Raw genomic sequence first — 12,805 nt, forward strand, 5'->3', positions numbered from 1 at the left:
CAGCTTTCATCTCAACTCATTTACAGATATAATTGAGAAAAAGATCTCATTCAAAATAGTGGAAAAAATACATGAGAAAAAGTGAGCAAGATAGTGGGACATATAACTATGAATCTTGCTAAAAACTAGAGTCTTGTTTGTATGTCTCTCAGGAAAATTTAGTATCCCCACAATAGCAATCCTACTGTGTATGTATGTGTGCATATGAATTTCACCAGAATAAAAATAAATTTTTAGAAGAAGTTAAAATGAGTGTAAAATGTATTAAAATAATTAACATCCAGAAATAGATAAGAGAATTTCGAAGAGGAAAAATTAGTGTGCAGGGATTTGCCTTACCAGATACTAAAATGTATCAAGTTATAAGAATTAAAACAAAGGGTGCAAAAAAAAAAATAGAAAGAATTAATAAGACATACTATTTGATAGCACAATAGAATGACTATAATAAATAATTTAATTGTACACTTAAAAATAACTAAGAGTGTAATTGGATTGTTTGTAACACAAAGGATAAGTGCTTGAGGGAATGGATACCTCATTCTTCATAATGCACTTACTTCACATTGCATGCTTGTATCAAAACCTCTCATGTACCCCATAAATATATACACCTACTTGGTATCTATCTACAAAAATTAAAAAAAATTATCAACTAAAACAATAAGGTTTTAAATAGAATAAGTCAAATTGATCAATTCAGACTAGAGAATCTCCAAAGTTAGTTCTAAGTATATATGGGAAGTTAATATTCACAATGGGAGGAAACATTTCAAACCAGTAGAAAATGTAATCTATATTTAAAAAATATTTTTGAAATATTTTCTATCCAACTTCAAGAAAACAAAGCCAAATCTACCTCACACTAATCTTAAGATAAGTTTGACCTGGGCTAGCAATCTTATTTTTTAAAAAACAACAAAAGTATTAGAAAAATTCTGAGAAAATCCTCTTTTTAAAAAGATAAGTGTTTTTAAGATAATTAGATGCTACTCTCTGAATTCTAGTGATAGCAAATAACCTTCAAAAGCTCCTTGCAGATTGAAGGCCACAAAAATAGAAGAGATAAGATTATGACTTATTTATTTAGCCTAAATTCAAGAGTAAAGGGAGTAGACTACAGTACTCCAATGATGAGAGTGAAATTGGAACAAAGTTTCTTTAAGCAGTTATGCAATGCATATCAAAATCTTCCAAAATGATTATACACTGATTGAGTGATTACATTTTGAGAACTAAGAAAATAATCAAGGATGTGGCAAGCTCGATATAAAATGATATAAATTGCTTATAAGGAGGAGAAAAACCTAGGGGAAAAACGTAACTAGAGAATCCTTTAAGACATGACAGTAGATGAGAATGAAGTATTGTGCACTCATTAAAAATCTACTGTAGAAGAATACATAATTATGAAAATATGTTCACCTTAGATTATTTCAGGGGAAACAAGAAAGACTGCAACACATATGTAGAGTGTAACCCTAAGTCTATGGGAAACACATGTGCTTCCAGAAAAAGCCTAGATGAATTGAAAGTGGCCTATTTATAGGGATTTCCCCCTAAGTGAAAGGATTCCATGATCCGTTGAAATTCTGCCATATCATTTTTGGTATTTTTGGTTAAACTGTCTAGGAGTTGAGACTACAGTACAGCACTATCAGTCCAGTGAGTTTTTTCTTCTAAGAGCCTCACAGACCATAGTTCAGTTTTAAAATTGTACTTAAAATTTTTTTCCTTTGGTTTTGTTTTTTAAAGAATTTATTAACATATTATTTCTTTTTAAAAATAATTTTAAATTAGGGTTTTTTAAAAAATTTTCACAGAAAGTGGGTAGAGATGTTGGAAGGGCAATTTGGCTCTCTTCACTTTAATCCAAACACCTGGTTTTGTAAAAGTCTAGCCTCATCATATGTGTAAGCCCCTTGAACAAGGCTGTAGGTTTTGGGGTTTACACACCACAGCTCTGTCTACCTTAATCAGAAAGTCAGCTCTTCGACGCCTTCAAGATTCTAGATAAAAATCGTTTATTTCTTTCCCTCAGTTTCCTGACTGGGCTCCTCCAGAGGCTGCCCAGGACAGCTTCTCTGTTCATAAGGCTAAACCACACTCTGGGGTCCTGTGTGAGTAAGGAGACTTCCTTGCCCTGTTCACCCACCCCCTGGGGGGCAGTATTGAATCTTGTTGAAGCTGAGTCTCTGGGCCTGAAAACAGACTCAGAAATGTTCCTAAGTTAGACTCAGAGGAAATCCAAAACCCTGACAGATTTTGGTGCATGCCATATATTGATTCTGGGCACTGCCTGGGAGACACTGTGCTTTAGCTGCTGTTTGTCAGTGTTAGAAGCAGTGGAAAATGTGGCTTTAGGATATCCCAATCCCACTGGTCCCTATTCCATAGAAAACATGCAGGTGATTGTCAGAATGCTCTAATGAAAGAATGCCAATGCAGTTAATATACTTCTATTTCCCCTCCCATAGCTCACCCCTTGAACTTGGGAAGCATCTGTAGCAAGTCTTGTTGTCAATGCTCCAGGGCTATTTCTGAGGTCATCAAACCAGGCAATATCTTGCCCCAGCATTGCCCTGAAACCAAATTTACGTAGCCTTTTTGTTAGGAGCTCCCCAGATTTAGCAAAGGCATATCCCTAAAACATGAAGAGGGAGATGTTAGAGAAATTTTAATGAGAAAAAAGGAAAAATAACTAAATCACTTACTGAAAAATAACATTTCTTACCTGTAGAAATTGGGTGAAAAGAGATACACAGCCCATTGCTACAAAAAGTAGGCACACACCATTGATCTGTGACCTTTGTTCCTCTTTATCAGGAATTGAAAAAGTCTTGGAAAGATAGTAAACAAGAAAGTAACTTTATTATAAATAGAAAAATAAATCTATTTACATGTTTAAAATGAATTTTTCTTACCATGTCATTATATATCTGTCCAAATTCATAAAATATACAACACCAAGAGTGAACCCTAATGTAAGCTGTGGATCTGTGATAATGATGTGTCAATGTATGTTCATTAATTGTAGGAAATGTATCATTCTGGTGGGAGATGTTGATAATGGGGGAGGTTATGCGTGTAGGGTGGTAGGGGGTATATGGGAAATCTCTGTACCTTCCTCTAATTTTGCTGTAAACCTAAAAGTGCTCTAAAAAATAAAGTCTTTTAAATAATGGTTCCACTTTAAACATGCTAGTAATTAAACGAAAGTTAGCTAAGAATATGATGACGATGTACTACAGTCCTCTGTGGGGCGGAAAACCTGGTGAATGAAAACCAATGGTGATGACTTACAGAATTTTTGTCTTGTTATTTTGCCTTTTTAGGCAATTGTGTTGGTTTTTCATCAACACAGATGAAAAGGATGATAAAATGATTAAAACATTTAAGTAATAAAACTGAGAAAGAAGGAAGAAAGGAAGGAAGGAAAGGAAGGAGGGACAGAAGAAGGAAGAGAGGACGGAAGGGAAGAAGGAAGAAAGGAAGCAAAGAGGGAGGGAAGGAGAGAGGGAGTTATGAAGGAAAAAGGGAAGGAAGGGAGGGAGGGAGGGAATCGAGATCTGGAAATGTTGTCTGGGACAAAACTCAAAGTTGTATTAATATTTTGACCGATATCTTTCTCTATTACTAAATGAAAGAAAATATGACTTTCACTCAGGTAATTTGCCGGTTAATTAGTTTTATAGACTATACAGCATTAAAAAAGAAACTATCAAAGCATTGACTGGAATTGCCTTAGGAGAGAAAAAAATTTCATTCATCTGATATTGAGGTTGTTGCCTCTAACTCACCAGAAGCTGAAACATTCCCCCACCCCCTAAAAAACTACGGCCATTGTGAGTGGGAGTTTTTAGTGTATAATGCTTAGTAAACTACACTCAAACGTATTCTGAATTTACAGACATCTGTTCAAGTAACTGAGGATCTTGTTACAATAAGAAAAATGAAAGAACATACTCCAATGACATTGCCTTGTGGTGAAATGGATTTTGTGCATAACAGAACCTTTGTAATTTAGGCCAGGTGAGGGAACTGGGAAGGTCAGAAGTATGCATTAGAGAGCTATACAATACATCTTTATTCATTTTCCTGAATTAATTTGAGTCATTAAAACAGTGTCAACAAATAGTTGTTCAAAGGAGACCATTTATTCAAAAATATTTACTAAGTAGCTATTATTTGCCAAATAAATCTCCTTGGAAACAATATGTGCTACTCCATTAACAAATCCTTTTTTTTGTAAAGCAAAAGTAACCCGTTCAAATTATGGCAAATTACAAAGTGAGTAGGAGGGGTTCTAAATTAATGAGATTTTACTGTTTGTAGGATGAAGTTTCTAGGGCCTTCATGGTGCTCAATACTGGTAAAAGTGGGTTCAGAAAGTAGCACAGTAATTCTTCCCAGCATAGCATAACTCGTAAGTTTACAGAGTCTAAAAATTCAAAAATTTAAAGATAAATATTTTTAAAATTACTGTGCAAATACCCTGAAACCCCAAACTGCGATGCCACAATTCCCATTCCTCCTTAAGGTCACCTTTTATAATGATGGTCTATAGAACAGCAGATTTTCCCATTTAACTCTTATAGATGGAAAATAAAGCCCCAAACATCAAGTTGTTTGTTCAAGTTCATTAAGCTAGTGGTTATTACTAGATAAGAAAATGCCTGTTTTTTGGCTTCTGGTGCAGTGGTTTTCTATTGGGTATGCTCTTTTAGCTTTTTGTATTACTTACCTTCTCAGTGTTAAAAAAAGAAAGAGCATTTAGCTAATGTTAAAATTCATACAACTGTCCAATTCAAGGTTGGGCATCTCTCTATCCATAATCTTTTTTCACAAAATTCTGCTCCACGAGTTCTTTGTATATTCTTATTGTTGAAATGCAACTCCAAGGGCTATCCATCCATAGATTCCTCTGTTCCTTTACTAGTTGTAGTTTTGGCACACATCTTTGCTATTTTTGTAATGGTAAGTTTGTTGAAGGAGAAAACTAACATTCATTAACCTTTTGCTATGTGCCACATGTCAAATGCGTAGATTAACCTGCTGTAACTTAAATTAGGAATTATGATTCTCAAAACAACCCAGTGAGGTAGATTTTCTTGCTCCTTATACAGATGAGGAAATTTATCAAGGATAAATCACTCACCTAAATATATACAGATAGTACAGAGTAGAGACCTACTACAAATCCAGAGCTGGCGACTCTCACATCCATTTTTTTTTTTCCCCAGCATGCTACATCCCAAGTGCTGTGCTTGGAACATTGGCACATTTTCCAAGTCAAATGGACACAGGGAAAGTGAAGCAGACAAATTACGCCTTACATGTATATTGAGGCTTAGCTAGATTGGCAACTGGGCTCCTAATAAGGCCCAATCATTTGCTGGGTCCATTCCCACAGTGTGGTCTCAATACAACAAATGTGCATATTGTGCCCTTTAGGTATGTCAGAAGGAAAATAGAGCAACTATAAATAGACTCACAATTATACCCTGTGAGAAGAAAGCATCATGAGTTTACTAATGAACACATGATAATTATGCAAAGAGACAACCTACTCTACCAGAGAGGAAAAATAGTGGTTTGTTCGGCATCATTCTCTTAGCAAATATAACCCTGTGAGAACAAGAACGACGAGTAGACTTTGGATTTCATCACCTAGATGCTGCCTACTCTGGTCCTGCAGCCCTTAAGTCTCTAAGTCCATCTTAAGGTTTCTGGTTGTCACCAGAAGAAACACAGAGAATATTGTCACCACCAATGACCAAGCAGGTGCTCAAGAAGGACAGCAATTATAGTTGAATCTCTTTTTTTTTTTAACTTAGCCATTTCATGGACCACTAGAGCTGGAAGATATCTTAGAGATCATCTTTTAAATCCTGCATTTTGTAGGAAATGGAGACCGGGAGAAGAGGTATGACATGATCCCAGGGCACACAGGATGTGGTAAGTAACTAGAAGAGCCAGTTTCAGAAGAAAGATCTCCTGACAGGAAAGTCAGAACTCTCCACAGCAGCTCATATGCACAGTTTAGGTGGAGATGGGTGAGGATATTCTTTACTCTGCTTTTATAAGAGGTAAAGAAATAATCAGCAAAGAAGCTGACATTTTGGATTTCTTTTAAAAAGCAAACATCCAGGACACAGGCTTGGATTCTTTCTGATCCAACCCTATTCCCTACACCTTCTACACTAACATCATTGCCCAGTGAAATGCACTTCCCCAGCTTCTCCCTACTAGAATGTCAGCTTTGTGCAAGCAACACACAAACACACAATGATTTTCTTGTCCTCCACTCTATGCCCAACATTAGTTACAATGCCTGGAAAACTATAGGTGGTAAATATCTGTTGAATGATGAGTGGGTTTTTTTTTGTTGATGTTATCTTCCTCACAGACTGAAAACTCCACTAGGGAAAGCATCATAACCGATATGCATTCCCCAGTCCACAGCACCATGTCTGGGGAAGACAATCAATACAGATCTGTCGAGGGAATAAAAGATGATTCATTTTATATTTGGATATTGTACCTACTAGGAAATCAAGAAATATAAATTATTTCAAAGATTTTCAGCATAAAAGTTTATGGCACCATATAACTAGAAATTCAGTTAATCAAAGTTGAGTGTTTCCGATTCTCTACCTTTCTGAAATTAATGTGATTTCTTCACTTACCACAAGGGGGCAATGCGAAAACTACAGTGGTGGCTGGGGCCCTCCTTACACGATGGACTTGATTTTGTTTGTGGATTATCCAGGTTTTTCTGTACAACTCATGCTTGTGGGGTCATTTTTACGGTCAGGAGAGGTGATGTGAGAGAAAGAAATGGAGTAGGGAACTAAAATGTAAGCTTTTATCATTTAATAAGCTCTGACAATGTGATATGTTGGCAAATTCTATAGACTAGGATTCGGTAAACCTGGGCCCTAGTCCTGGCCCCATCACCTTGTACAAGTTGACAGTTCTAGGTTTCCTTCCTTGTGGACCTCAAAGGATTTATGTGTATATATGTGTGTGTGAATTTCAGCCAAGAAAACATGATCACATTTTTTTAAACTGCTTTTTTAAAATTAACTTTTTAAAATTTTTGTATATTTAGGGGGTACAAGCACAGATTTCTTACATGCATATTGAAGTCTGGGCTTTTAGTGCACCCATCACCTGAATAGTGAACATTGTACCCAATAGGCAATTTTTCAACCTTCATCTCCCTCCCATCCTCCCAACTTTTGGAGTCTTTAGTGTCTATTATTCCACCCTGTATGTCTATGTTTACCCATTGTTTAGCTCTCACTTTTAAGTGAGAACATGTGGCATCTGATTTTTTGTTTCTGAATTTTTTCACTTAGGGTAATGTCCTCCAGTTCTGTCCATGTTGCTGCAAAAGACATGATTTCATCCTTTTTATGGCTGAGTAGTATTCCATGGTATATCGTATTTTCTTTATCCAATCCTCTGTTGATAAAAATTTAGATTGATTCTGTGTCTTTGCTATTGTGAATAGTGTGACAATAAACATATGAGTGCAGGTATCTTTTTGACATAATGACTTCTTTCCCTTTGTATATGCCCATATGATGGCTAATACTGAGTGACAACTTGATTGAAGAATACAAAGTATTGATCCCCTGGGTGAGTCTGTGAGGGTGTCGACAAAGGAGATTAACATTTGAATCAGCAGTATGGGGAAGGCAGACCCACCCTTAATCTGGTGGGCACAATTTAATCAGCTCTCAGTGAATATAAAGCAAGAAGAAAAAAATGTAAACGAGCAAGACTGGCCTAGCCTCCCAGCCTACATCTTTCTCTCCTGCTGTATTCTTCCTGCCCTCAAACATCAAACTCAAAGTTCTTCAGTTTTTAGACTCAGACTGGCCTTCCTTGCCCCTCAAGCTTGCAGACAGCCTATTGTGGGACCTTGTGATCATGTGTAAGTTAATACTTAATAAACTCCTATATATATATAAAATGATATATATCCTATTACTCCCATATATATATATACACACACACACACACACACACACACACAAAATAGGATATATATCCTATAAACGCCTATAAATATGTATATATATGTGTATATGTGTGTGTGTATACATATATGGATATATATCCTATTAGTTCTGTCCCTCTAGAGAACGCTGTCCCTAATACAGCCCAGTAGTGGGATTACTGGATGAAATGGTAGTTCCATATTTAGTTCTTTGAGAAATCTCCATTCTGTTTTCCATAAAGGTTGTACTAATTTACATTCTCACCAGCAGTATATAAGCATTCTTTTTTCTCCACATCTTTGCTAACATCTGTTGTTTTTATACTTTTTAAAGATAGCTGTTCTGACTGTTGTAAAATGGTATCTCTTTGTGGTTTTAATTTACATGTCTATGATGATTAGTGATGTTGAGCATTTTTTTAATGTTTGTTGGCTGCTTGTATGTCTTCTTTTGAAAAATATCTGCTCATGTCCTTCACCTACCTTTTAATGAAATTATTTGGTTGTTGCTTGAGTTGAGTTCCCTATAGATTCTGAATATTAGCCCTTTGTTGGATGTAATGTTTGTAAATATTTTCTCCAATTGTGTAAGTTGTTTGTTTACTCTGTTGACTGCTTCTTTTGCTGTGCAAAAGCTTTTTAGCTTAATTTATTCCCATTTGTCTATTTTTGTTTTGGTTGTGTTTGCTTTTGAGGACTTTGAATTAAATTCTTTGCCTAAGCAAATGTCCAGAAGAGTTTTTCCTAGGTTTTCTTCTAGTATTTTTATAGTTTCAGGTCTATGTTTAGGTGTTCTATCTATCTTGTGTTAATTTTGTAAGTGGTGAGAGGTATGGGTCTAATTTCTTTCTTCTGCATACTGCTATCCAATTTTTCCAGCACCTTTTATTGAGTAGGGTGTCACTTCTTCAATGAATATTTTTGTTGACTTTTTCAAAGATAACTTGGTTTTAGGTATGTGGCTTTGTTTCTGGGTTCTCTATTCTGTTCCATTGATCTATGTGTCTATTTGTATACCTTGGTAGAATAATTTAGTCAGCCAAATAATATGATACCTTTAGCTTTGTTCCTTTTGCTTAGGATTGCTTTGGCTATTAGGGCTCTTTTTTTTAGTTCCATGTGAATTTTAAAATTGTTTTTTTCTAATTCTGTGAAAAATGACATTGGTAATTTGATAGTGATTGCATTGAATCAGTGGATTGGTTTGGGAAGTATGGTCATTTTAATGTTATTAATTCTTCCAATCCATGAGCATGGGATGTTTTTCCTTTTGTTTGTGGCATCTATGATTTCTTTTATCAGTGTTTTGTGGTCCTCCTTAGGGAGATCTTTCACCTCTTTGCTTAAATATATTCCTAAGTATTTTTTTTGTAGCTATTGTAAATGGGATTAACTTCATGATTTGGCCCTCAACTAGATCAATATTGGTGTATAGAAACACTATTGATTTCTGTAAATTAATTTTGTATCCTGAAAGTTTACTGAATTCACTTACTAAATTTAAGAGTTTTTGGTGAAGTCTTTAGGGTATTCTATAAATAATATGATTTCATCAGTAAACAGGGATAATTTGGCTTCCTCTTTTCTAATTTGCATGCCTTTTATTTTTTTTCTCTTGCCTGATTGCTCTGGCAAGGACTTCCAGTACTATGTTAAATAAGAGTGGTGAAAATTGGCATCCTTATCTTGTCCCAGTTCTTAGAATTCTTTCAACTTTTCCCCATTAAGTATGATATTTGCTGTTGGTTTGTATGGCTTTTATTATGTCGAAGTATGTTCCTTCTATGCCTAGTTTATTGAGAATATTTATCAAGAAGGGATGATGAATTTTGTTGAATGTTTTTTCTGCATCTATTGAAATGATAATTTTTTCCCTTAATATTGTTTATGTGATATATCATGTTTATTGCTTTGCATATGTTGAACCATCCTTGCATGCCTTGTATAAATCCCACCTGATCATGGTGTGTTATCTTTTTGATGTGCTCTTGGATTCAGTTATTTTGTTAAGGATTTTTACATCTATGTTCATCAGAGATATTGGTCTGTAGTTTTCTGTTTTTGTGATGTCCTAGTCTGGTTTTGGTATCAGGTGATATTGGCCTTGTAGAATGAGTTAGGGAGAATTCCCTCCTCTGATTTCTAAAATAGTTTCAGGAGGATTGGTATTAGCTCTCTGCCTGTTTGGTAGAATTCAGCTATGAATCCTTCTGGTCCTGGGCTTTTATTTTTTTTTGTTAGGAAATTTTTTATTACTGACTCAGTCTTGCTACTCATTATTAGTCTGTTCAGGTTTTCTATTTCTTCCTGATTTAATCTTGGTAGGTTGCACGCTTCCAGGAATTTATCTATTTCCTCTAAGTTTTCCAGTGTAGGTTTTCATAATAGTCTGTGATAATCTTTTGTATTTCTGTGGTATCTGTTATAATATCTTCTTTTTCATTTTTGATTGAGTTTATTTGGATTTTCTCTCTTTTTGATTAGCTAGCAGTTTATCAATTTTATCTTTTCAAAGAAACAATTTTTTGTTTCATTGCTCCTTTGTTTTTTTTTTTTTGTTTGTTTCTATTTTGTATAGTTCTGCTCTGGTCTTTGTTATTTCTTTTCTTTTGCTAACTTTGGGTTTGGTTTGTTCTTTTTCTAGTTTCTTGAAGTGCAATGATAGATTGTTAATTTGTGATCTTTCTACTTTTTTATGTAGGCATTTAATGCTATCAACTTCCCTCTTAGCACTGCTTTTGCTGTATCTCACAGGTTTTGGTATGTTGTGTTTTCATTTTCATTCATTTCAAAAAATTTTCTAATTTCCATCTTAATTTCTTCATTGACCCAGTGATTATTCAAGAGTATGCTGTTTAATTTCCATGTATTTGTATAGTTTCCAAACTTCTTCTTAGTATTGATTTCTAGTTTTATTTCACTGTGGCCTGAGAAGATACTTGATATGGCTTCAGTTTTTAAAAAATTCATTAAGACTTGTTTTGTGGCCTAATATCTGATCTATCTTGCAAAATGTTCCATATCCTGAGGAAAAGACTGTACATTCTGTAGTTGTTGGGTAGAATGTTCTGTAAATGTCTGTTAAGTTTGATATAAAATCCAGTTTATGTCCAATGTTTGTTTGCTGATTTTCTGACATGATGATCTGGCTAGTGTGTGAGTGGCATGTTAAATTCCCCCACTATTATTGCATTGCCCTATCTTTCTTTAGTTTTGCTTATATTTGTTTTGTGAATTTGGGTGCTCTGATGTTGAGTTCATATATATTTAGAATTGTTATAACGTTTTGTTGAATTTATCATTACATAATTATCTTGTCTTTTTTTTTTTTTACTATTTTTGATTTAAAGTGTTTTATCTGATATAAGTGTGGCTACTTTTGCTCAACTTTGGTTTCCATTTGCATGGAATATCTTTTTACGCCCCATTACTCTCAGTCTATATGTGTCTTTATAGGTAAGGTGAGTTTCTTATAGTCAGCATTTAGTTGGATTATTTTTTTAATCCATTCTTCCAATATGTATTTAATAGTGGACATTTAATCCATTTACATTTGTGAAAGGAAAATATGGGCCCCCAAAATCACTAAGCTAAAGAGAAAAGTCAAATCGGGAACTGCTTAGGGCAAACCTGCGTCCCATTCTATTCAAAGTCACCCCTTTGCTCACTGAGATAAAGGGATGCCTGATTGCCTCCTTTGGAGAGGCTAATCAGAAGCTCAAAAGAATGTAACCATTTGTCTCTTATCTACCTATGACCTGGAAGACCCCTCTCTGCTTTGGCTTGTCCTGCCTTTCCAGACCAAACCAATGTTCACCTTACATATGTTGATTGATGTCTCGTGTCTCCCTAAAATGTATACAACCAAACTGTGCTCTGACTGCCTTGGGCACATGTTGTCAGGACTTCCAGAGGCTGTGTCATGGGTGCACATCCTCAACCTTGGCAAAATAAACTTTCTAAATTAACTGGGACCTGTCTCAGATTTTTGGGAGTCACACATTCAAGGTTAATATTGATATGTGAGGCTTTGTTCCTGTCATATTGCTGATTGTTTTCAAGTTATTTTATAAATTGTTTCCCTCTTTTTCTGTTTTTTTTGTCTTTGTAGTTTGATGAAATTCTGTTATGCCATTTTATTTTTTTCTCTTCTTCCTTGTGTGATTATTTTATATGAACTGTGAGTTTTATATTTCAATGTGTTGTTGTGATGGTGAGCAATGACCTTTTGTTTCCATGTTTAAGACCCCTTTGAGCATTTCCTGTAGGTCCAATCTAGTGGTGATAATTTTTCTAAATGTTTCCTTGTCTGGGAAGAACTTTATCTCTCCTTCACTTATGAAGCTTATTCTGGCAGGACACAAAATTCTTGGCTGACAGTTTTTTTTTTCCTTTCAGCACTTTGAAAATGCCATCTCTTTCTCTTCTGGCCTGTAAGGTTTCTGCTGAAAAGTCTGCTATTAGTCTGATGGGGTTTCCTTTATAGATGAGTAGATGCTTTACTCTTGCTAATTTAAAAATTCTTTCTTTTACTTTGACTTTAGACATTCTGAACATAATATATAATGGTGAATTCCTTTTTGTAATGTGTTTGCCTGGGGAATCACTGGACTTCTGAACTGGTTGTCTAACAGTCTTGACAGACTTGGGAGGTTGTTATTGATGATTTTTTAAAATATGTTTTCTAAACCTTTTGATCTCTCTTCCCTTTCAGGATACTGATAATTCATAAGTTCAGTTGCTTTATTTAGTCCATGTTCAGTCCCTTTACTTAGTCCTAGACATCTCAAAGGC

The 12,805-nt window shown here is 35.0% G+C and overlaps 1 protein-coding gene across 7 annotated transcripts in view; it reads right to left on the reverse strand.

The window, feature by feature from the left end:
• ABCB11 (ATP binding cassette subfamily B member 11) overlaps positions 1–12,805 on the reverse strand; it is a 115,935-nt gene that overhangs the window by 26,733 nt on the left and 76,397 nt on the right. For all 7 annotated transcript variants that reach the window (XM_017005165.2, NM_003742.4, XM_011512078.3 and 4 more), the window contains 2 exons: positions 2,735–2,839; positions 2,483–2,644 (listed from right to left, as the gene is read on the reverse strand). In XM_017005165.2, coding sequence (XP_016860654.1) covers positions 2,483–2,644; positions 2,735–2,839 — 267 coding nt within the window. The remainder of the gene's footprint in view (positions 1–2,482; positions 2,645–2,734; positions 2,840–12,805) is intronic.

This window comes from Homo sapiens, chromosome 2 (assembly GCF_000001405.40).
Source record: "Homo sapiens chromosome 2, GRCh38.p14 Primary Assembly".
Classification (NCBI taxonomy): Eukaryota; Metazoa; Chordata; class Mammalia; order Primates; family Hominidae; genus Homo; species Homo sapiens.